Source organism: Homo sapiens, chromosome 17, assembly GCF_000001405.40.
Source record: "Homo sapiens chromosome 17, GRCh38.p14 Primary Assembly".
Taxonomy (NCBI): domain Eukaryota; kingdom Metazoa; phylum Chordata; class Mammalia; order Primates; family Hominidae; genus Homo; species Homo sapiens.
The window spans coordinates 75664631-75687040 of NC_000017.11; the positions used below are offsets into that span (position 1 = coordinate 75664631).

General features: G+C 45.1%; 2 protein-coding genes and 1 long non-coding RNA gene across 19 annotated transcripts in view, besides 4 other annotated features; 1 reads left to right on the forward strand and 2 right to left on the reverse strand.

Moving 5' to 3' along the window:
- RECQL5 (RecQ like helicase 5) overlaps positions 1 to 2524 on the reverse strand; it is a 40301-nt gene extending 37777 nt beyond the window's left edge. For 5 of the 7 annotated variants that reach the window (NM_004259.7, XM_005257818.5, XM_047437091.1 and 2 more), the window contains exons 1-3: positions 2414 to 2524; positions 1798 to 1941; positions 421 to 542 (exon numbers count right to left, since the gene is read on the reverse strand). In NM_004259.7, coding sequence (NP_004250.4) covers positions 421 to 542; positions 1798 to 1927 — 252 coding nt within the window. In that variant the 5' untranslated portion in view covers positions 1928 to 1941; positions 2414 to 2524. Of the gene's footprint in view, positions 1 to 420; positions 543 to 1797 lie in introns of all 7 variants that reach the window. The other 2 variants (XM_047437085.1, XM_047437092.1) reach the window with 1 other exon arrangement.
- Positions 1649 to 2848: an enhancer, noted in NCBI's record as "BRD4-independent group 4 enhancer chr17:73662359-73663558 (GRCh37/hg19 assembly coordinates)". NCBI's record gives its function as "activates an origin of replication core promoter dependent on BRD2, P300/CBP, MED14 and CDK7 cofactors, and independent of BRD4, by STARR-seq in HCT116 cells {active_cell/tissue: HCT116}" and the evidence as "EXISTENCE:reporter gene assay evidence [ECO:0000049][PMID:35650434]".
- Positions 1649 to 2949: a biological region, named in NCBI's record as "BRD4-independent group 4 enhancer GRCh37_chr17:73662359-73663558".
- Positions 2430 to 2529: an enhancer, noted in NCBI's record as "active region_12772". NCBI's record gives its function as "activates an Ori minimal core promoter by ATAC-STARR-seq in GM12878 lymphoblastoid cells {active_cell/tissue: GM12878}" and the evidence as "EXISTENCE:reporter gene assay evidence [ECO:0000049][PMID:35858748]".
- Positions 2700 to 2949: an enhancer, noted in NCBI's record as "active region_12773". NCBI's record gives its function as "activates an Ori minimal core promoter by ATAC-STARR-seq in GM12878 lymphoblastoid cells {active_cell/tissue: GM12878}" and the evidence as "EXISTENCE:reporter gene assay evidence [ECO:0000049][PMID:35858748]".
- Positions 2708 to 22410, forward strand: part of SAP30BP (SAP30 binding protein) — a 40722-nt gene continuing 21019 nt past the window's right edge. For 6 of the 10 annotated variants that reach the window (NR_126036.2, NR_126037.2, NM_001301855.2 and 3 more), the window contains exons 1-3: positions 2708 to 2848; positions 3886 to 3995; positions 7186 to 7233. Coding sequence is in view for 6 of the 10 variants with exons in the window: in NM_001301855.2 (NP_001288784.1) it covers positions 2743 to 2848; positions 3886 to 3995; positions 7186 to 7233 (264 nt within the window). In the remaining 4 variants the exon portion in view is untranslated. The remainder of the gene's footprint in view (positions 2849 to 3885; positions 3996 to 7185; positions 7234 to 22410) is intronic. The other 4 variants (XM_011524694.3, NM_001301839.2, XM_047435870.1 and 1 more) reach the window with 2 other exon arrangements.
- SAP30BP-AS1 (SAP30BP antisense RNA 1) lies at positions 18913 to 20169 on the reverse strand. Of its 2 annotated transcripts, none has more exons than NR_186496.1 (2): positions 19835 to 20169; positions 18913 to 19148 (listed from the first exon to the last, which is right to left on the reverse strand). It is a non-coding gene; the product is annotated as an SAP30BP antisense RNA 1 (long non-coding RNA). The 2 variants fall into 2 exon arrangements; NR_186497.1 differs by lacking the exon at positions 19835 to 20169 and adding an exon at positions 19347 to 19412.

The window sequence follows — 22410 nt, forward strand, 5'->3', positions numbered from 1 at the left end:
GGGCGGGTGTGGTGGCTCACACCTGTAATCCCAGCACTTTGGGAGGCCGAGGTGGGCGGATCATTTGAGGTCAGGAGTTTGAGACCAGCCTGGCCAACATGGTGAAACCTCATCTCTACTAAAAATACAAAAATTAGCCGGGTATGGTGGCATACACCTGTAATCCCAGCTATATGGGGGGCTGAGGCACAAGAATTGCTGGAAGCCGGGAGGTGGAGGCTGCAGTGAGCCAAGATCGCACCACCGCACTTCAGCCTAGGCGACAGAGTAAGACTCTGTCTCAAAAAAAAAAAAAAAAAAGGAAAAAGAAAAAGAAAAGAAAATAAGAGGCAAAAGACCAATAGAGAAGTGAAATTTCCAGCCTCAAAAAACCTTCCCCGAATCTTTTTGGGCTACCATCTTCATTGCCCTAAGCCTCACCTGAATCAAAGCAATGAGAGGAGAGACTACAATGGTGATGCCTTTGGCCAACAGAGCAGGGAGCTGATAGCATAGGGATTTTCCTGCCCCTGTGGGCATGCACACAAAGACGTCCTTGTTACCTGAAAAAATACAAGACAACAATATCTCAGTGCTTCCTGCCTTTTCATTGAAGTTGTTGAAAATTAAATGAGAATGTAGGAAAAGCACCTAGCAGAGTGTCTGGCACATGGGAGGGTCTCGATGTAATCCTAATTCCCCTCCTGTCCTTTCTATGAAAAAGGCAAGGATCCTGGGAAACTTGGATACATGCCCAAACCATTTCTAGTAATGGTTAAAAACAAGATTTAAAAAGTCTGGGTCAAGCGCAGTGGCTCACGCCTGTAATCCCAGCACTTTGGGAGGCTAAGGCAGGCAGATCACGAGGGCAAGAGTTTGAGACCAGCCTGGCCAACATGGTGAAACTCTGTCTCTACTAAGAATACAAAAATTACCCAGGCATGGTGGCACGTGCCTGTAATCCCAGCTACTCAGGAGGCTGAAGCAGGAGAATTGCTTGAACCCAGGAGGCGGAGGTTGCAGTGAGCCGAGATCGCGCCACTGCACTCCAGTGTGGGCGACAGAGCAAGACTCTGTTTCAAAAAAAAAAAAAAAAAAAAAGAAGTCTGAGTCTGCTGTGATATGGATGATTGAACTAAACAGCCATGAAAGCAGAGTACTGCTAGATGAGTGGGTACATCTGTGTAGACATGAGAGGACATTACTTAGAGGGCTTTTGTTTAGACATGTATCATTAATATTACATTGCTGCTCGCCTCTTGGCAACTTCCATTTGTCACCGTATCTCAGGTTTATAACATTATTACTCTTTCCTTCTCTATCTGGGACCAAGGCCACTCAACCTGCAACAAGGGAATTACCTAGGAGGCCAGTGACCGAGTTAAGTTATTCCTACCACCCTCACTGTTGCTGTTCGTTTGTGTGTACAAACGAACAATAATGAGAATCTGAAGTGTTTTCAAAGACCATGTGTAAATCTAGCTATGAAATATAGACCAGCTGGGTGGTTCTGCCACTAAAACTACAAGCTTTGGGCCGGGCGTGGTGGCTCATGCTTGTAATCCCAGCACCTTGGGAGGCCGAGGTGGGAGGATTGCCTGAGCCCAGGATTTGGAGACCAGCCTGAGCAACATGCCAAGACCCCATCTCTAATTAAAACAAATAAACGAAACTACAAGCTTTGACAACTCTAAAGATTTCCAAATCCAGTTATGGACCAAAGGTGAGGCAGTACGAAGGGTGAGGAGGAGGGTGTTCTGCCGCAGCGTTATGGTATAGCCAGCATAAATTTAAAGGAAGGTAGCTTGGTAATGTTACCTTTTACTACAGCCATGGTCGCACTCTCCTGTAAAGGCGTCTTAAAAGAGTCAAACCCAAAGACCTTCTTCAGCGTACTCCGGACTCGCCGCTCAGGGTCAAAAGGAAAGGTGGTATGGTGGCTGCTCATCTTAGCCAAGAACAGTGGCCAAAGGTTAAGGCAAAGGTAGTAAAAGGTTGCCACGAGAACCCTCTGTTTTGCATTAAAAATACAGATTATTTTTCTGTAACAATTTGCTATATTACACTTAAATAATGTATTATTTTTAAGTAATAAAGCTGAAGGTGAACTGCCTCAAGCAATACATTCCTCAGTAATTAACATCTCCACTTTTACGCTCAATGAAAATGAAAACATTGAACTATTCCAGGCCACGGTATAGCACAGAGCTAGAAATCAGATCAAGAGAAGAAACATAAATGTCTTCAGAACAGCTTGGAGAACGGGGAACCGTTTTCCTAAGATCCACCACCTGCTCCTACTTCTATAAGCGCAACCACGACGACCGTTCTTCCACCCCGGGACCCCGAACCCCTTCTCCCGTCTTCCTGAGCCCAAGATCCGCAATTTTCTCTCTTGGCTGGCCGACACCTCCCTCTCTTCACCCTAAGATATCAGAACCGGCCGTGGTCCGCCCAAGAATTAAAGGCTGCTGGCTGGTTCCGGAACTGTTCGAAGACCCCTATACACAACCCCAACTCAGAGAAGCCAAAGCGCTGGGAATTCAGCTTTAGGCAGAACCCACGCAATCTTATATCCGTCGCGCAGTGATGACGTAGCGCGAGCGCTGGCATGAGGGCGGAGCCAGGCGCAGGAAACTGCCGTTTTGATTGGTTTCCAGTGTGGCGCGGGGGTCTCCTGGGATCCGAAAGAACCTGCCTTTCCGCCCGGAAGTCGGCGTCTTGAGTCATAGGAGTGAGCCACGCCCGGGCTGTGGGAATAAGATGGCGGGGAAGAAGAATGTTCTGTCGTCTCTCGCAGTTTACGCGGAAGATTCAGAGCCCGAGTCTGATGGCGAGGCTGGAATCGAGGCGGTGGGCAGCGCGGCTGGTAAGGCCCAAGTGCGAAGCTGGAAGGGGGAATCGGGTGTCTGCCCGGAATGCTGTACCCTCGCTGGGCGGGAGGGAACAAGATGGTCATTGTGCTCCAAGCACCGGACCCCGAAGAATGGTCCAGGGTCCGGGGTGAGATAGAGCATTAGAGACTGTGGACTAAGAATGAAGAATCTCCTTCCCGTTATTTCGATTAATTTGCCTAAACTTACTGAAAGACTCCGTGCCGGCTATAGTGATAGACAGAGGGATGGACGAAGAGGGAGCGGCTGCTCAGCCACTGCCTGTTTCCCCTGGGCTCGTTGTTTGATGAGGGAGAGCGATAAGTAAAACATACGTGGAAGATGGTAAAGATTGTGTTCGTTAACTTTATAACTTTTAGTTAGGAATGTGCCCTAAACACATCTTGGAGCTTTTAAAAACAAACGTATCTGATGCCCAAAGTGAGAGAACCTAATTCGGTAGAACTGGGGTAGGATGTGGGCATTTGTGAACTTTTTAAGGATCCCAGGTGATTTTTCTTATTTTGTGAGTTTTTAAAGCCTAACGGTGATGTTCTCCTCCTCAGGTTGAGAAGCACAATGTTAGATAATGGAAACAGATTCCTTTGGGAGAATAAAGAACAAGTTACCTAACAACATATCAGGACCTTAGCTTCCTCATCTGGAAAGTGAAGGGGATTGGATTAGGTTAGGTACTTCCATGTTTTGTGATTTTGTGTGGTCTCTTCCAGTCAGAAAGTTCTCTGATGGTTTCCTATAAACACTTTAGTGTTTATCTAGTGTTTATAGCATTAGAAACAGAATTTAGTACTCGGTTTTGTTCCCTGACCTTTTAATGATTTTATTCAGTAAATGCTGGCCTTCTCAGAGAGCCGAATCTGGGCCTATTGTAACTTAACATGAGATTTAGGTTCCCTTTGTATCTTCAGAGATAGTCTTGGCCACTCAAATCTCTGGACATTTTTTCTTACATTGTAACTCTTGTTTTTTTTTTCTTGCTTTTTGTTTGTTTGTTTGTTTTTTAACCTTTCAGAGGAGAAAGGCGGATTGGTATCTGATGCCTATGGGGAGGATGACTTTTCTCGTCTAGGGGGTGATGAAGATGGTTATGAAGAAGAAGAAGATGAGAACAGTAGACAGTCGGTAGGTAAATCTCCCAGATCCAGAGCTACTGAAAGCACAATTTCATTTGTCAGATTTTGGAACTGTGCCAACAGTGTTCCATTTCATGGTTAGCTCCATCCCTTGCTCTCCCGTTTTGTTTTAGTATTAGTGGAAGAAACTGGATTGGATATCAGATCTGTTTGAAAATGTATTTTCACATGGATCATTTTTTATTAATCTTTGAATTGAAATTTGGGGGAAAAGATAGTGGATTATTTTATTTAACCCAGATATCAATGGGTGTTTTATGTTGATTTTTCCCTGTTTAAATGATTTACTCCATTTATAGCAGGCATTCATCCTAACTGGTGTATCATTTATATCTACAGTCAACTCTGCATTATTTTTAATCTTGGTTGGGGCTCATTTAAGTCTTCTCAGTTTATTAACAAGATAAGAAAGGAAAATTCGTTTTCACCTGCTTTTTCTTTTCTTTTTTTTTTTTGAGATAGGGTCTCACTCTGCTGTCCAGATTGGAGTGCAGTGGTGTGATCATAGATAGTTCACTACAGTCTTGAACTCCTGGGCGCAAGTGATCCTCCCACCTCAGCCTACCCAGTAGCTGGGACTACAGGTGGGCGCCACCATGCCTAGCTAACCTATTATTATTTTTTTTTGTCGGAATCTTGCTCTGTCGCCCATGCTGGAGTGCAGTGGTGCGATCTCTGCTCACTGCAACCTCCACCTCCCAGGTTCAAGCAATTCTCCTGCCCTCAGCCTCCTGAGTAGCTGGGATTACAGACACCTGCCATCACGCCTGGCTAATTTTTGTATTTTTCACAGAGACGGTTTCACCATGTTGGCCATTCTGGTCTCTAACTCCTGACCTCAGGTGATCCACCCGCCTCATCCTTCCAAAGTGCTGGGATTACAGGCGTGAGCCACTGCTCCTGGCCGATTTTTAAAATTTAAAAAAAAATTTTTTGTAGAGACGTTGTTTCACTATGTTTCCCAGTCTGGTTTCAAACTTCTGGCCTCAAGCAATTCCCCTGCCTCACCCTCCCAAAGTGCTGGGATTACAGGTATGAGCCACCATCCCTGGCCTTCTTAACTTCTTTCTTGACATTTTATTTGGCACTTTTTATAATGGTGCCCTTAGTTCTTGATCACAAATCTTGCCTGAAGTTCAGTAGGTGCTGGAGAAAGGAGAACCTGTGCTATTATTAACAAGAAAGTCTTTAGACACATAATCACCTGAGCAACATGAGCCAGAATTTAAGTTTGCAGAAAACGCAAGGAAATTGAAGTTGGTGCTTAGCATAAGACAGGCAGAGTTGAGTCTAGATGTCAAATCTGACTGCTTAGCAAGTTTTAATTAAATCACTTAAAATATATTATTTGTTTGAAATTTTTGTTACATGTTGGTATGTAAATGTTAGCATTAAAATTCTTTCCAGCCAAGCACGGTGGCTCATGCCTGTAATCCCAGCACTTTGGGAGGCTGAGGTGGGCGGATCACAAGGTCAGGAGATCAAGACCATCTTGGCCAACATGGTGAAACCCCATCTCTACTAAAAATACAATAATTAGCAGGGCATGGTGGTACGCACCTGTAGTCCCACCTACTCGGGAGGCTGAGGCAGGAGAATCGCTTGAACCCGGGAGGCGGAGGTTGCAGTGAGCCGAGATCACGCCACTGCACTCCAGCCTGGGCAACAGAGCCAGACTCCATCTTAAAAAAAAAAAAAATTATTTCCACAACAAACAGAAATGCGTTTTGTACATGATGCATTTTGGGAGATACTTTCATGCCTTTAGCCCCATCCATTAATATTGATAATTCAGAGTTGACTGAAATTATTCAGAAAAGTTTTGCAAGTTGTTTTCTGACTTTTCTGAAGTACACACATTCTGGCTTAATATTCATAACTCTTTTCTTTAGTACGTTTGCATAATGTGTTTTTGAAGTGTTATTTCATATTTGCTTTGCTTAGAATTTTCATCATGTTTAAGCTTCATTTCATATTTTAGTAAAATCCTCTCATCAGATCTTGTTGTAGAGATTCTGAAATGTGATTGTATTTGTCTGAGCTCCATCTCTGTTTATTTGGCATGACTGATTTCATTTTAAGGAGATTATGGAGATTGCATTTAAAGCCTTGGACTCACTGGTACCTTACAGGACAGTTAAGTCTCCAAATCATGAGTCTAGTTTGTTCAAGTCTCTCGAGTGGTATTTATATTAATATATGGAGTGCTGTGTAATGTTTGGGCTGAAATGTAGCTTTGTTGAAAATAGTAGTTTCAAATGAAACCATTTTTTCCTGGGTATTTAGTTAAAGGCTTCTGTGCATTGGGAGTGTTCTGGGTAGTGGAGGTGACATGGATTTAGCCAGCTAATAAGGTAGCTGGTCCAGCATCTGCTCCTGATCTTTGACCTTCATAGCATCAGCGTTAGCGTTCAGTGGAATGGCGGGCTCGCTTTGGAGAATGCCTTACCGTGTGTGATCCTTTGTGTCAGGCTGACCTCATCTGGATAAGGAACAGGACTGGGTAGAATGGATCACTGGCAGTTCTGTGAGCACTTAGGTGGAGGCAGAGCCCACTCAACTGGGACTCCTGAAAGGTTGGGCATTGCCCTTTAGTCCTGCCTTTCCCAGGTCACTTGCTCAGGTAGTTTGATGCCTGCCTTCCTGTGTTGATGTTTGTGCAAATGCCGGTTGAGGTGCTGCGATACAGCTGTGTGTAAGCCTTGGCACTTGGTGTTGGACACTGTTAGAGTAGGTCCGAGTCTGATGTACATGTGTATATGAAAAGGAAAGAAGGCTCATAATCCTGATTTGAAATAACTGATACTTCAGTGGAAACACGATGCCTGTTTTATTGTGTGGCCTGATCTTACTCTTTCCTAAAACATATTGCAAGCTTTCTCCATTTTTATGTATGTGACTTTGAACTCGGGCATCTTCATTGATGTGGACTGTCTCACCACTAAAGTAACTTGACTTTGAGCTGCTGATGCTTTTTTGTTTTTTGTTTTTTTCCCCTCCAGAATATCTCTTTTTCCCCTTATTTTTCTCTGGTTCTGAGTTATATGGTAGGGGAGGGATTCTTGGTGGGATGACCCCAGCTGGGTAAATGGGCTGTTTGCTCCGGCCCCTAGTTATGCATGTGAGACTCCTCAGGCCCGCTCCTTTAAGCTTAATCCTCTAAATTCTTTGTCTTGTAGGAAGATGACGATTCAGAGACTGAAAAACCTGAGGCTGATGACCCAAAGGTATTTGGTGTTGGCTGTGGTGGGTGGCTGGATGCAAACAAGGTGTTTGAACACTGTGGCTCAGTTCGTATGTTTGGTCAAGATCTGTCCCACTGACAAACTGTGCAACTGTGTGGACATTTTCTGGGATAAAATAAGCTTTATAAAGAAAGAACCTGGAGACAACTCAGGAATGAACAAATCCTGAGACACATTGGATTTCCAGCCTTTCAGATTGTGCCATATCTCCTGACTAGAAAGGCGAGAGGCCTGGCTGAGGCCAACAACCCACTTGCATTCTGCATCCCAGATGGGGCTTTAAGTGTCACTGCCCTGCAGGTGGATTAGTCTGTTTCTAGACCCAGGAAGGTGTAAGGGCCGCCTCGCGTGCTTTGGGTTCTCTTTAGTCATCTAGAAGTGAACAAGAGGCTATAAGAAGGTCAGACCAAAATGAGGCCTCTCCCCAGCTCTCAGGGATGGTGGGTCTAATGCTCATTTTCCTGGGGGTGTGTCCATCCACTTTTGGGCAAGCTGTACAGAATGGTCTTTTTCGGAACAACATAACTATTCTCATAGTGTCATCCTAGTAGCAGCCAAGAGTAATTTGTAGCAATTCCTATCACATTCCATAATGATCTGTTGTGAAGGTTAAGACACCCTTGTGTTGGTTAAGCTGCTGTGCTGTGCATTGGCCATTAGAAATGTGTACTTGCTGAAGAGTCATTTTTTATGAGGAAAAACTTCCCCCCTGTACCCCCAAAGAAAAAGACTTAATTATATCACTCTAGACCCGGGGAATAAGGACCCATTTTGCAGTTAAAAACTGCTTTGAGGCCAGCCGCAGTAGCTCACGCCTGTAATCCCAGCACTTTGGGAGGCTGAGGCGGGAGGATCACTTGAGGTCAGGAGTTCAAGACCAGCCTGGCCAGTATGGTGAAACCCCGTCTCTACTAAAAATACAAAAATTAACTGGTGAGACTGGTGGGTGGTGCACACCTGTGATCCCAGCTACTGGGGAAGCTGAGGCAGGGGAATTACTTGAACCTGGGAGGCAGAGGTTGCAGTGAGCCATGATCTGCCAATGCACTCCAACCTGGGCAACAGAATGAGAATCTGTCTCAAAAAAAAAAACAAAAAAAAACTGCTTGGAAACCAGCTGTAACTTTCAAGATGACCTAGTAAAATTTAGGAAATTTATGCCCAATTAAAATCTAAAACAGTAATATTCTTGAAAATATAGTGTGAGCTGTTCCATATTTGAGCTGATTCTGTGATTGGATAGAACTGTATGTAGCCACTAAAATCTTGAGACGTTGTGAGTGAGAAAGATAAGAGTGTGTTTTACCAGGAAAGAAAGTTTTGGCGCCAGCATGCAGGAGGGAAAAAAAAGAACCCCTGAAAACTGTAAATGCAACCTGCTTTCTATGCTGAGTGAAAAACCTGGAACCCAGGCCTGAGAACTCGCCCTGCCTGAGAACTGGCAAGATGGTATGGGCAGACCCATGGCCCCATAGTTCAAAGTCAGTCACAGCTCTCCTCGGGCTTGCAGAACAAAACACTCAGTAGTGATAATCTTCTCTGCCTAGTATTTAGGGTATGTGGGACTTGGAGCCTGCACGTAAAACAAGCCCAGGGAGCCGTTAAGTGTTTGGGTTTCAGTTGTGGAGGGAAGGGAGGATCTGGGTCCTAGAGTCTTTCTGGGTACAGTTGCAGCCTTTTCTTAGGGCTGGAAGGCTTCCTGGGGAAGTTGGCTGGAGAGGAGGGTACATAACACTTAACGGTCACCCCTTCTAAAATACTGTAATCCAGGCAACAAATCCTTGGGAGATGACAGGGCTTTGTGAGTCAGGGTGGGGGTCACATGAAAAACAAAACAGACTTTACTGCTGTCCAGTAGCAGTCACTAAAGAGCGGGGTGGGAGGGACCCAAAAAAGGTGAAGCTGGGAAGATTGTGGAAATGCCTTTTGTGCTCAGGCTCCCCTTCTCAGCCCTACATCACGGCTGACAGCCTCGTCATTCCTGCCTGCTCCTTGACTGATGTGCTTCGCTGTTCCTCATTCACTCATGTGCATTTCAAGTTTTACTGTGGAATGAAAAGTTTTCATGGAATAATTTCTGTTCCTCTTGAGGAGCCCTCAGAAATCAGAACACAAAATCCAACCCTCAAAGTCACTTGATATAGTTCTTTTGGAGGGTGATGGAGAAGGGTTTAGATAAAGCTTGCCAGCTTCAATGTTCTGCAATCCCCAGTGGCTGCCAGGCCTTTAGGAGTCCTCGTGGCATCTCCAAGGACTACAAATGATCCCCAGCATGAGTCTTCTGTGATACTCTTATCTTAGTCCTGGCCCTGTCATCCTTCTGCTTGAGCTGGCCTCAGACTCTCTTCCACATAGCAACATGTACCTCAAATCCAGAACTTTCTGGCACATTTACATTTTATTTTTATTTATTTATTTTATTTATTTTTTTGAGACAGAGTCTTGCTCTGTCGCTCAGGCTGGAGTGCAGTGCTGTGATCTCGGCTCAGTGCAACCTCCGCCTCCTGGGTTCAAGCGATTCTCCTGTCTCAGTTTCCCGAGTAGCTGGGATTACAGGTGTGAGCCACCATGCCCAGCTAATTTTTTGTATTTTTAATAGAGACAGGGTTTCACCATGTTGGCCAGGCTGGTCTTGAACTCATGGCCTCAAGTGATAGGCCCGCCTCTGCCTCCCAAAGTGCTGGGATTACAGGCATAAGCCACTGTGCCCAGCCCACATTTTTTTAAATTGATGTGTAACAATATTTTTTATATTCAAAACCCTTAATTTTGGACATTCTGCTTTAAGCATATGAAGTTTTTTTGTTTGTTTTTTGTTTTTTTTTTTTTTTTTTTTTTTTTTTTGAGGTGGAGTCTCCTCTGTCGCCTGGAGTGCAGTGGTGCCATCATAACTTACTGCAGCCACAACCTCCCTGGCTCAATTAATCCTCCCACCTCAGCCTCCCAAACAGCTGGGACTACAGGTGTGTGCATCACACCTAGCAATTTTTTTTAATTTTTTTGTAGAGGAAAGGTTTTGCCATATTGCCCCGGCTGGTCTTGAACTCCTGGGCTCAAGTAATCTGCCCACATTGGCTTCCCAAAGGGCTGGGATTAGAGCTGTGAGCCACCAGGCCCAGTGCACATGAACATAGGAAGTTTCTAACAATAGAATATGTTACAAGTGTGGATCTTTGTTAGAAGTGTTGTTTAACAATTAGATTACTGTCATAATTGTCATCTCCACTAGGTGGCATTCTCCTTTCTACTTTGGTTTTTTGTTGTTTTTTTGTTTTGTTTTGTTTTTGAGTAGGAGTTTCGCTCTTGTTGCCCAAGCTGGAGTGCAATGGCGCAATCTCAGCTCACTGCAACCTCTGCCTCCCGCATTCAAGCCATTCTCCTGCCTCAGCCTCCCGAGTAGCTGGGATTACAGGCACATGCCATGTCGCCCAGCTAATTTTTGTATTTTTAGTAGAGACGGGGTTTCACCATGTTGGCCAGGATGGTCTTGATCTCCTGACCTCGTTATCTGCCCACCTCAGCCTCCCAAAGTGCTGGGATTACAGGTGTGAGCCACCTCGCCCGGCCTCTACTATGGTTTTTTAAGATCTTTTAATTTTTTTCAGTAGTTCTCAAAACATTTAGGTTTCTTTACACAATTAAAAATTGAGGATCTCAGAGTTTTCATTTTGGTTTTATCTATTGATGTTTACTATTTTATAAGTTAAAACTGAGAAAATTTTAAATTACTTATTTTAAAATAACAAACCTGATCCGGCCACAGTGACTTGTGCCTGTAATCCCAGCACTTTGGGAGGCCGAGGTGGGCAGATTGGTTGAGCCCAGGAGTTTGAGACCAACCTGGACAACGTGATAAAACCCCATTTCTATAAAAAAAATACAAAAATTAGCCGGGTGTGGCGGCGCATGCCTCTAGTCCCAGCTACTCGAGAGGCTGAGGTGGGAGAATCACTTGAGCCTGGGAGGTAGAGGTTGCAGTGAGCTGTGATCTTGTCACTGCACTCCAGCCTGGGTGACAGACTGAAACCTTGTCTCAAACAAACAAACCTATTACATATTAACATAAATAACATTTTTAGAAAAAATAAGTATTTCCAAAAAAATGTTAATGCAAAGAGTGGCACTGTGTCACCACTTTACAAATCTCTTTAATGTCTGGCTTAATAGAATATGGCTGGGTACATATAACTGCTTTTGCATTCAGGTAATTATAGGTATTCTTCTTTGATACTTCATCAAAACTCAACAGGTGATAGTTTCCTTGAAAGGTTAGTTACATCATGGAATGCAAAGCCTTACCAGTGAACTCTGCATTCTGCTTCCCTAAAATCCACTGGTCTGTCTTGCCCTTTGAATGGATCTTTTACCCATACATGATTTGATATCGTCAGGCTCTGGTGATTTGAAAATTGCTGATGTACTGAGTTACACAGATCTAAATGTTGACACATTTTGTTCTGTCGTATCAAAAAAGTAGTATTTATTAGTGACATCACTAATCTCATCAGAAAATCATTAAATGTTAGAAACCTTTTAGCAAGCCCACAATAAGGAGCAATACATTTTTTAAGATAATGTGTTTCTAATAATTTTTGTTTGAAAGCATGAATTTATCATTTTCAATATGTGCTATCAGAGCTTTCCTTGAAGTAACAGGCTTTGGTCTTGAGAAAATGTCTGCCAAATACCCAAGTCCAGATAACTAGTTTGTCATTATTTCAAATAAAAATGGTGTTTCCTGAAGAAAACTGTCAGTTCAACTGGTGACTCAAATAATCACAAACGGTAGTCCATCCTTTTCCGTGGCTTCAGTAACCTGAGGTCAGCTGCAGTCTGAATATATTACATGCAGTAAGCTATTTTGAGAGAGAGTTCACATTCGCATAGCTTTTATTACAGTATATAATTCTAATTGTTGTTAATCTCTTACTAGTTTATAAATTAAACTTTATCATAGGTATGTATGTATAGGAAAAAGACATAGTATGTATAGGTCTCAGTACTATCAGAGGTTCAAGGCATCTACTGGGAATCTTGGAACGTATACCCCACGGATAAGGGGGCATTGCTATGTGTGCTTTTCCCTGAGACATTTGTCTGACTTTGTTATGCAGCAGAAGTATTTATGCATGCCTCTCATGTCATTGCCCAAAATATTAAAGAGATGTATATTCAAATGTCAAGATGTCATAAAACTAATCATTTTTACTGTCCTGGCAGAAAACTTTTTTTTTTTTTTTTTTTTTGAGACACTCACTCTGTTGCCCAAGCTGGAGTGCAGTGGCACAATCTCGGCTCACTGCAACCTCTGCCTTCCAGGTTCAAGTAATTCTCCTGCCTCAGCTTCCTGAGTAGCTGGGATACAGGCACGCGCCACCATGGCCGGCTAATTTTTGTGTTTTTAGTAGAGACAGGGTTTCACCATATTGGCCAGGCTGGTCTCGAACTCCTGACCTTGTGATCTGCCCGCCTCAGCCTCCCAAAGTGCTGGGATTACAGATGTGAGCCACCACGCCCGGCCTATGGCTGACCATTCTTAAGTGAAACTGGCTTTTTTTTTTTTTTTTTGGAAACGAAGTCTCGCTCTGTCACCCAGGCTGGAGTGCAGTGGCGCAATCTCAGCTCACTGCAGCCTTCACCTCCCAGTTCAAGCGATTCTCCTGCCTCAGCCTCCCGAGTAGCTGGGATTACAGATGTGAACCACCGTGCCTGACTAATTTTTGTATTTTTTTTTTTTTTTTTTTGGTAGAGTTGGGGTTTCACCATGTTGGTGAGGCAGGTCTCAAATTCCTGACCTCAAGTGATCCACCCACCTCAGCCTTCCATAGTGCTGGGATTACAGGCATGGGAATCCCATGGGATTACACCCAGCCCTTTTTTTTTTTTTTTTTTTTTAAATCAAACGGCTACAGTTTGGTGCTGCCACCTCAATTTGTTCTAAAGGCTAGCAGTTTACCCACCATTGCTTGTGCAAAGGTCAACACGATGAAAAAGACAATGACTTAAAACGGTTTTGACTTTGCAGACCCCTTAGAAAAACTACTATTATTCTAAAACAGAAATCATGGGTCAGTGATTCAGTAGTTGTTTGAGAACTGTTTTTATTGCTCTGAAAATGTCCGTTAAGTTGTTAGCCTTATGGGGTCTTGAGCCATGTTGAGGGTGGGTTAGTATTCAGAGTAAGATGATTCAGCCCTGGCATGGTGGGGAGGAGTTCAAGCTCTGGAATGAGACTGGGGTTTTCTTGGGGAAGTCCTTTAACCTCAGTTTTTCTCATCGCGAAAATAATCATCATAATAAAATCTGTCTCATTTATTTTAAGGTTCAACTAAGTAAAAATAAAATGCAGTTGTCCCTCACTATCTGTGGGGATCCCAGGACCCCCTCCTCAGATGCTCAAGGTTCTGATATAAAATGGTGTAGCATTTGCATTTAGCCTTGGGAATCCTTCTGGATACTTTAAATCATCTTATGATACTTGATACAATGTAAATGGCTGTGTAACTAGTTGTTAGACTGTGTTGTTTAGGGAATAATGACAAGCAAAAAAGTCTGACACGTTCAACACAGACACAATTTAAAACACACACACACACACACACACACACACACAATTGGAGGTGAGTTCTGGCCATGGATTCAGAACCACAGATCCAGAGGGCCGGCTGTACTCGACTCAGTATGTCTGGTGTGTGTTTGTTCAGTAGCATTGGCTGAACTGACCATCACTTCCAGTTCCACCTGTGCACACTTCCCAGGCTGGTCATACCATGTTGTCGGCCGGTTTTGGAAGAGCAGATTCCATGTTTTAAACTGGAGTGCTCTCAGAAGAGCAGTCATAAAGGTGAGGGGACTCAAAAGCACATCACCTGAGGGAAAGGTAGAGCTGGAAGACAGAAGACTCGGGAAGAGCCGGGGTTGCGCTCTGGTGTTTGAAGGTCTGCTGAGGGAAAGGCTAAGGCAGCCTGAGGCAGACCTGAAGCCGCGCGCAGAATTCCACAGAAGTTTACCTTCATATAACGAAGGACCTTTTGTGATCTCCGGCCACAAGTGGGTTGAGCTGTTTCATAAGGTAGTGAGCTCCCTGTTTCTAGAGGTTTTTCAGGCAAGTTTTTTTTTTTTTTTTTTTTGAGACGGAGTCTCGTTCTGTCGCCCAGGCTGGAGTGCAGTGGCTCCATCTCAGCTCACTGCAAGCTCCGCCTCCCAGGTTCACGCCATTCTCCTGCCTCAGCCTCCCGAGTAGTACCTGGGACTACAGGCGCCCGCCACCACACCTGGCTAATTTTTTGTATTTTTAGTAGAGACAGGGTTTCACCATGTTAGCCAGGATGGTCTCGATCTCCTGACCTCGTGATCTGCCTGCCTCGGCCTCCCAAAGTGCTGGGATTACAGGTGTGAACCACCATGCCCGGCCTTCAGGCAAGTTGTAAGAAACGACTTGTCATCAACATCATAAAATCTGTTGGTAGAGGTTGGATTAAACTCCAGGGAGTTCCCTGGGAACCCCCTAGGAAAGGACTTGGGCATTATACATAAGCAAAGTTGAGTATTCTCTAACTTTGTTATCTGATGACTTTAAAATATGCACAGACTGGAATTGCCCTGGTTTTTATTGCTCTGATGTTTGGGGTTACCTGTGAGCACAGAGTCCCATGTTTGGGAGCGTGAGTAAGAACTAACTCTGGCCCACCTGGGCAGAGAGACTTGGTCCTGTCCTTTAGGTTGGGGCAGCAGGGATTGGGCTCTGCAGGTGCTGAGTTTGCCCCAAACTAGCGAACAGGAGATTGGAGAAGGAGGCTGGGCGTTGCATAGGAAACAAGCTTTGTTTCCTGTGTTCCATTATTTTTTCGTCTCTAACTTCAAGTTTCTGATCTTGTCTCTTCGGTAAGCAGCAAATTAACAGGAGGTGGCACTGCTGTTCTGGAAAAAGAGCAGACGTGACAGTCCTGGGGCCAGCACCTCACTCCGGGAAAGGAGTGCCTGGTGGCTGAAGTGCTTCCTCCCCCTGTTTACCTTTGGCACCCGAACATCCCTTTCGCCACTCTCCTTTGTCCATTTTTACCTCGTTTGCTCTGGACGGTTTCCCTTGTTTATTTTTTTCTCCACTCCTACAGTTCCTGTGGATGAAGCTGTTTCCATTCACTCACTGTCCCTGACACACCCTTCCTTTGAAAACAAACATGGGGGTTGAGAGCCTGGAGCAAGAAAGATGGAGCAGCCTATTGCCAGCTGACTGGGAGGGACTGGGATCGCCGGCCTCCCTGAGGTGCTGATCTAGGAAAAGATCTAGATCTCACGCTCTGATCTAGGAAAAGAATCCTCCCAGCCCAGGAGTGTACATCTGTGAAAACAAAATTCCGTCTTCTGGGTCAAGGAGGTGGCATCAGGTGGGGGTTGGGGGGAATTGTTCTGGCATTTTTTAAAAAGGCGTGTATAACCCCAGTTAAGAGAAGACATTTTTAAAATTCTAAGATCCCTAAAGTAGTACTAAAATGTGGAGCTCACAAACAATTTAGAGCCGGTCTGGTGGACTTGTGGTCCGAAGACCTGGGTTGTGCCCTGGCCTGGCTTCCCTCTGGCTGTGGAACCACAGGCCTGTAACTTAAGCTTCACTCGGCTCCATTTGGGCAGTCAGGGCCGTGAGACCCCCTTTGCAAGGTGGTTGTGACTGCGGCGTGAGAGAATGTACATGAAGGTGCTTTTCGCAGTATACAATGCACTTGTTAGCAGTGCTTGGCCTTTTCAGTGTAACTAAGTCTGATTATACGCCCTTATCCTGTAGGTTAGAAGGCGCCACGATTTCTCGGCTCACTGCCCTTCATGTCTCCATAGTTTTTCACAGACCTCTGGAACAAAAAGAAATGCCTAATGGCTGAGTGTGGTAGCTCAAGCCTGTAATCCCAGCACTTGGGGATGCCCGAGGCAGGAGAATTGCTTGAGCACAGGAGTTTGAGACCAGCCTGGGCAACATGGTGAAACCCGTCTCTACAGAAACTACAAAAGTTAGCCAGGCATGGTAGTGTGTGCCTGTAGTCCCAGGTACTTGGGAGGCTGAGATGGGAGGATCATTTGATCCTGGGAGGCAGAGGTTGCTGTGAGCCGAGATCTGTACCACTGCACTCCAGCCTGGGCAGCAAACCAAGACCCTGTCTGAAAAAAAGAAGAAAAAATGCCTAACGAATGGTTCTGTTTCTTATGTCATTAGCTTCAGACACTAAGTATTACTGTCCTCACAATTCAGTAGCTGCTTAAAAAAATAATATGTGTAAGTGTGTGTGGTATGTGACATGTGGAGTAAGGCTGTGTTTCCTGTAACAGTTTTGTTAAATATCCTGTGGCACCTTTGTGAGTTTGCTGGGTTACCCCAGGTAGTAGTCTGGGAACTGTGGCAGTAGATTGTCTTAAGAGTTCCAGAGTGGGGGCCTTGACAAGTCCTCACTTAGCCTCCTCTGGAGGCCCAGCCGGGTGAGTGGTTCTCTGCCTCAGTGGCTATTCATACCCATCCTGAAGAAGACCAGGTCTCCCAGTTGACGGGAGTTACTGACTCACAGTCTAGATGAGGATTTGTATTGGGCAGAGCTGACTCGGTAATTCCCTCACCCACTCTCCTCTCAACTCCTTCCCACTGTCCTTGCATTACTCCTGATCTTTTGAAGTACCAGAATCAAATATCTGAAAACTGCCTAAGGGGCTAATCTCCCAGGAATTTGTTGTTGACTGCTGATTATAGGAAGAACTTTGAGGAGCCTGCCAGCAATTGCATGCAGGCAGCACTGCAGGTTGAAATCTTATATTCTTTTTATTGAACACAGACCCAGAACACGGGCAGCTTCTGCAGGATTGCTGCAGAGCACAAGTGTTTCCCATCTGGGCTCCTGGTATATTCGCTGCCCTTCCAAGACTCTGGGATCTGAAAGGAAGATGCTGTGGCTTTTCATAAACAAGCAGCAAAGGGTTGCATTCCTCCTGATATTGAAGGATATTTAGGAGGGTATGTGATGTGGTATGAGATAGGAGCCCCGAGTCCTTTTGCAGCATTGCAAACAGGTTGTTTGTGTGCCTTTGTTGATGCGCTGCTGGCGAGCCCTGACAACTGAGAATTACTCTGCAGAACGAAAGAGCAAACTTGAGCTCTCAGAGCTTAAGCTTGGACTTTTTTTTTAATGGACAGAGTTATTTTTTTATAAAAATATAAAATGTTTTTATATTGTGTTTATTTTTATTTTTGTCAAATTATTGTAGCAAGATTGAGTATTTTGCAAAAGGAAAAAAAATCACCTAATCTCATGATGCTAACCATACGACCATTTTTTTTTTTTTGAGACGGAGTTTCACTCTTGTTGCCCAGGCTGGAGTGCAGTGGCGTGATCTCAGCTCACTGCAGTCTCCACCTCCTTGGTTCAAGCGATTCTCCTGCCTCAGCCTCTCGAGTAGCTGGGATTACAGGTGTGCACCACCACACCCGGCTAATTTTGTATTTTTCAGTAGAGATGGGGTTTCTCCATGTTGGTCAGGCTGGTCTTGAACTCCTGACCTCAGGTGATACACCTGCCTCGGCCTCCCAAAGTGCTGGGATTACAAGCGTGAGCTGGGATTACGGGTGCAAGCCACTGCACCCGGCCTCATACAGCCATTTTTATTCTTCTTTTATGTTTGCCTATAATAACATATGTTTTGCATCCAGCTTTGTCTCTATCTATATATAAACATTTTCAATGTTGCTGTACTGTATAATTATAATAGCAATATGACACAAATGAACAGTTAAAAACAAACACTGAAGAATTGTATGGCATATGAGGCTGGGCGCAGTGGCTCATGCCTGTAATCCCAGCACTTTGGGAGGCCAAGGCGGGCGAATCACGAGGTCAGGATATCAAGACCATCCTGGCCAACATAGTGAAACCCCCATCTCTACTAAAAATACAAAAATTAGCCAGACATGGTGGCACGTGCCTGTAATCCCAGCTACTCAGGAGGCTGAGGCAGGAGAATCACTTGAAGCAGGGAGTCGGAGGTTGCGGTGAGCTGAGATCACGCCACTGCACTCTAGCCTGGTGACACGGTGAGACTTCGTCTCAAAAAAAAAAAAAAAAAAGAATTGTATGGTATAGGAGTTATATCTCAATAAAGCTGCTGTAAGAAAAATTTATTTTATTTATTTATTTATTTATTTTTTTTGAGACAGAGTCTCACTCTGTCGCCCAGGCTGGAGTGCAGTGGTGCGATCTCAGCTCACTGCAACCTCCCTCCTGGGGTTCAAGCAATTCTTCTGCCTCAGCCTCCCCAATAGCTGGGACTACAGGTGCACACCACCACGCCTGGCCAATTTTTGTATTTTTTTTAGTAGAGCTGGGATTTCACCATGTTGGCCAAGCTGGTCTCGGACTCCTGACCTCAAATGATCTGCCTGCCTCAGCCTCCCAAAGTGCTGGGATTACAAGCATGAACCATGGTGCTTGGTAAAAAATAATAATAATAATAATAATTTTTTAAATATTCCAAATGGAGATTTTTTTAAAAACCCATTGAGATCTACCAACTTTTGTTCTAGTAGTGACACCAGTCCTTAGCCCCACAGATTTTCACATCATTTCCCTCATTCTCATATTTTCTTCAGCTATATAAGTTAAATCCAGAAATAAGCACGTTACACTAGCAAAATCTGAATAGGTTTTTATAATTGAATGCTATGTCTGCAGTTTCCCTCTAATGAAGTTCTCTGGTGAACAGGAAATGGGCCATGTGCTTTACTTGGGTCAGAAGGAATAACTCGTTCTTTAAGCTCGTGTTCTTATTGGAAGTCCACATGGTTGTTCCCCCAGGAAGGGAGAAGAGCTGGGTAGAGTTCAGGATTTGGTAGCATTTTTTCTGTGAGTCCCCAGGAAGTCTCTAGGCTAAGGACAGGGAGGTAGCACCCACGGTTTGTGTGATTAAGCCTGCAGGACCAACCCTTTCAAACAAGTTAACTCAGATGTGACTCACTGGGGCCCCATGGACTCTAGAGCTGTTTCCCCTGATCGTCATAGGTGAAAGATAATAATTCTGGCTGTCTTCCCTTAAGTCCAGGGTTTTAATACCTGCTTCACTCTGACCTGCTAGAGAATCATTCCTGGAGGGGTGCTTTTCCTTCTTGGTCTTCACTGTTGGCTTACCCAGTGGTTGAACCAACAGCTTCCTAGAAACCGCTACCCTTTGCAGCCTCTTAGTCTAGAGGGAGAAGGTGGGAAGTTGGGAATAACTGGATAACTGGGCTTTTGAGCCAAACAGATTTGGCCTTGAATTTCAACATTGCCATTTATTGGGTGAGCTGCTTCATTGTGTTTTACCTCAGTTTACTCGTGTGCAAAATGGAAATAATAATGTCTACCTCATAGGGTTATTGTGAGACTTGAATAGTGTAGGTTAGCTTGTAGTGGGTTCTACGTTTAGGGTGTCATGTGGGGTGCTATGTGAGTGGGAGAGTATATGCTTCATCCTTCCATCCTGTTTTATTAGTCCACCTGCCCCTGTGTTCTATCTCCCATACCCTGTAATCTTTTGAGTGCTGATTAGAAGGGAACAAAATTACAGTATGACTCACCCAGGACCAGAGAAGGAAATGGCCCTTGACCATTGCTGGTTTGTGAGCCATCCACCACCCTTCTCTTGGAAGTTGTAATGTGGGCCTTGAACTATTGAGAATGCCCAAGCCTACGTAGCATTCGGCACTTCCCTGCGCTCAACACGATGGATGGTCTTCTTTAGGCTTTTCCTCAACAACACTAGGGTTGCCTTGCACAGCTGGGAGACATGGAATTTCCAGAAGCTCGTGGAGTGGCTGTGCTGGGAAGAACCTACCCCAGCCTGAGGTCTAGGGTTCTGGGGGTTCTAGGGGCCTGCTGGGTGATAACCGGATCTGAGCAGGAGTCAGAAAGGCAGGCAGGCCATGAAAGTCACTCTTCAATTGTCGCAAGGGAAGGAAATCCAAGCCTGCTTTGGCTTTGTCCTGCCACCTTCCAAGGAAGGCCTCACTACATCATAAGCTGAACACTGCTGGTAGAAGCGCTGGTAGTTGTTGGAAGTTGTGATCTCATGCAAAGGGGAACAATGACCATTATTCTCCCTCTGACCCCTCCTTGGCTCCATTGCACTGCCAGAGGGGCCTTCTTGATGGCAGTTGATCCAAGTAACCTGAAGCTGAGACTCCCAGAAGCCCCACCTCACTCCTGTGGTTCCACAGCCCACAGGGAGCCACCGCGTGTCTGGTACACCCTCCCATCAGCCGTGCAAGCCCCAACATACCTCCTTCCCTTCGGGCCAGATGCCATGGATTGCTAACTGAGGTGTGGCTGGGCCCCTCCTTCCCCATCTGGGACTCATTTCTTTGAAATTATATGATACAGAGGACTGCCTGTCCTTAGGGATCCAGCACTTCCGACCTTCGTTCTGTATTTTCATCCATGTCTCCTGAAATGCTGCTGTGTGATTTCTGGGTTCAATAGGATTTTGCTCATTTCTATTCCTAACTTTGGAGTTAGGTAAATATTTTCTGGGCTGTGCTTCAAAGATGCTTGCCTTCTTTTTGGCCCTCTAAGTAACTCAGTCCCCTTCCTACCGGTGTCGATGATGACCAGTTTGCATTTCTGTCACCCTGACTTTCAGGGACTGCGAGTATATTTGCCTGAGATGTTGATGTAACTAACTCCTCAGCTTGTCGGCCAGCCTCTCAGATGGAATGCTTTTGTAATTTGGTAGCCATGTAGAGTTGTGTGCCTTCCAGACTTGCATTCTCAACCTCACAAAGCTGTCTCTTTTGTCCTTGTCTGTCTCCAGGCTCCCCCCAACCCCCCAAATATATCAACCTAAAGCACAGAGATACTGTTCTTGTGGGAAGCCTTGAAGGGAAAAAGCCTGTCCTGGCCTCACCACCAAGAGCTTGACTCAGATCCTTGGTGTGAGGCAAACTCTGGACCTAGATACACCCGTTCCTGACACTCTGGGGATAAGACAAAAAGGGAATGGCCCTCTCTGACCATCTTCTGTAACTTTCAAGAAACCAAAAATCTTGAAGTGTCTTGAATCAAATGTAGATTGTACTTGGAATAGTCGGATAACAAAAGTCCCCCTTGGAAATAGCTCCCTGCATTTACATTGAAGTCTAGTTGGTTGTAACATGTTCCATGTAACAACATCAGGAGCCGTGCTGAGTCACGTGGGCTTTGTAAATTTAGCCAGATTTTTCAAATAGAGAAACTGTTTCCCTTCCTCCTCCCTACCTTGTCTTCAGTCTACAAGGCCAATTCTATAGCCGGCTTAATAAGTCTTGGCAAACTCCTGTTTCACCCATTCCTATAGAAACCTTCTGTGGTTGGGGCCGGGCGCAGTGGCTCACGCCTGTAATCTCAGCACTTTGGGAGGCTGAGGCAGGCAGATCACGAGGTCAGGAGATCGAGACCATCCTGGCTAACGAGGTGAAACCCCGTCTCTACTAAAAATACAAAAATTAGCCAGGCGTGGTGGCGGGCGCCTATAGTCCCAGCTACTCTGGAGGTTGAGGAAGGAGAATGGCGTGAACCCTGGAGGCGGAGCTTGCAGTGAGCCGAGATTGCGCCACTGCACTCCAGCCTGGGCAACAGAGCGGGACTCCATCTCAGGAAAAAGAAAAAAAAAAAGAAAGAAAAAAAGAAACCTTCTGTGGTTGGGAGCAGAGCCTTCCCATCAGCAAGTGGTCTAAGCAAAGGCAACCCCAGCGTGTCCCAGAGGGCCCCACCAACTTCCGCCCATTTTTCTGATAAATTGAGTGTTTCCATTCCCAGGCAGGCAGTGTGCCCACGGCAGTGGCTCAGTCCTGGCCGACAGGATACAACTAAAGGAAATGTGCTAGCAATGGGCTTTCTCCAGGGCTCTCCAGTGGGGGTGGCTGGCATCTGGCCTCTGGGGTGGGATGTTCCCATGCAGCATTGGGTTTGGAGGCTTTGCTGAGCTGTTGACAGCTCTCACTCCTAGCCCCCAACCATGTCTCTGTCAAACCAACATCATTTTATTCTGGAACTTGGAGGTATTTTATAAAGGTAATCCAGCATTGTTGCTTTCTTGGCAACCTGAAGTGACTCACATTGATCTCAGAAAACCTTGTTTTGACTATTACTTTGATGCCTCCACAAGAGGGTTTCTGGA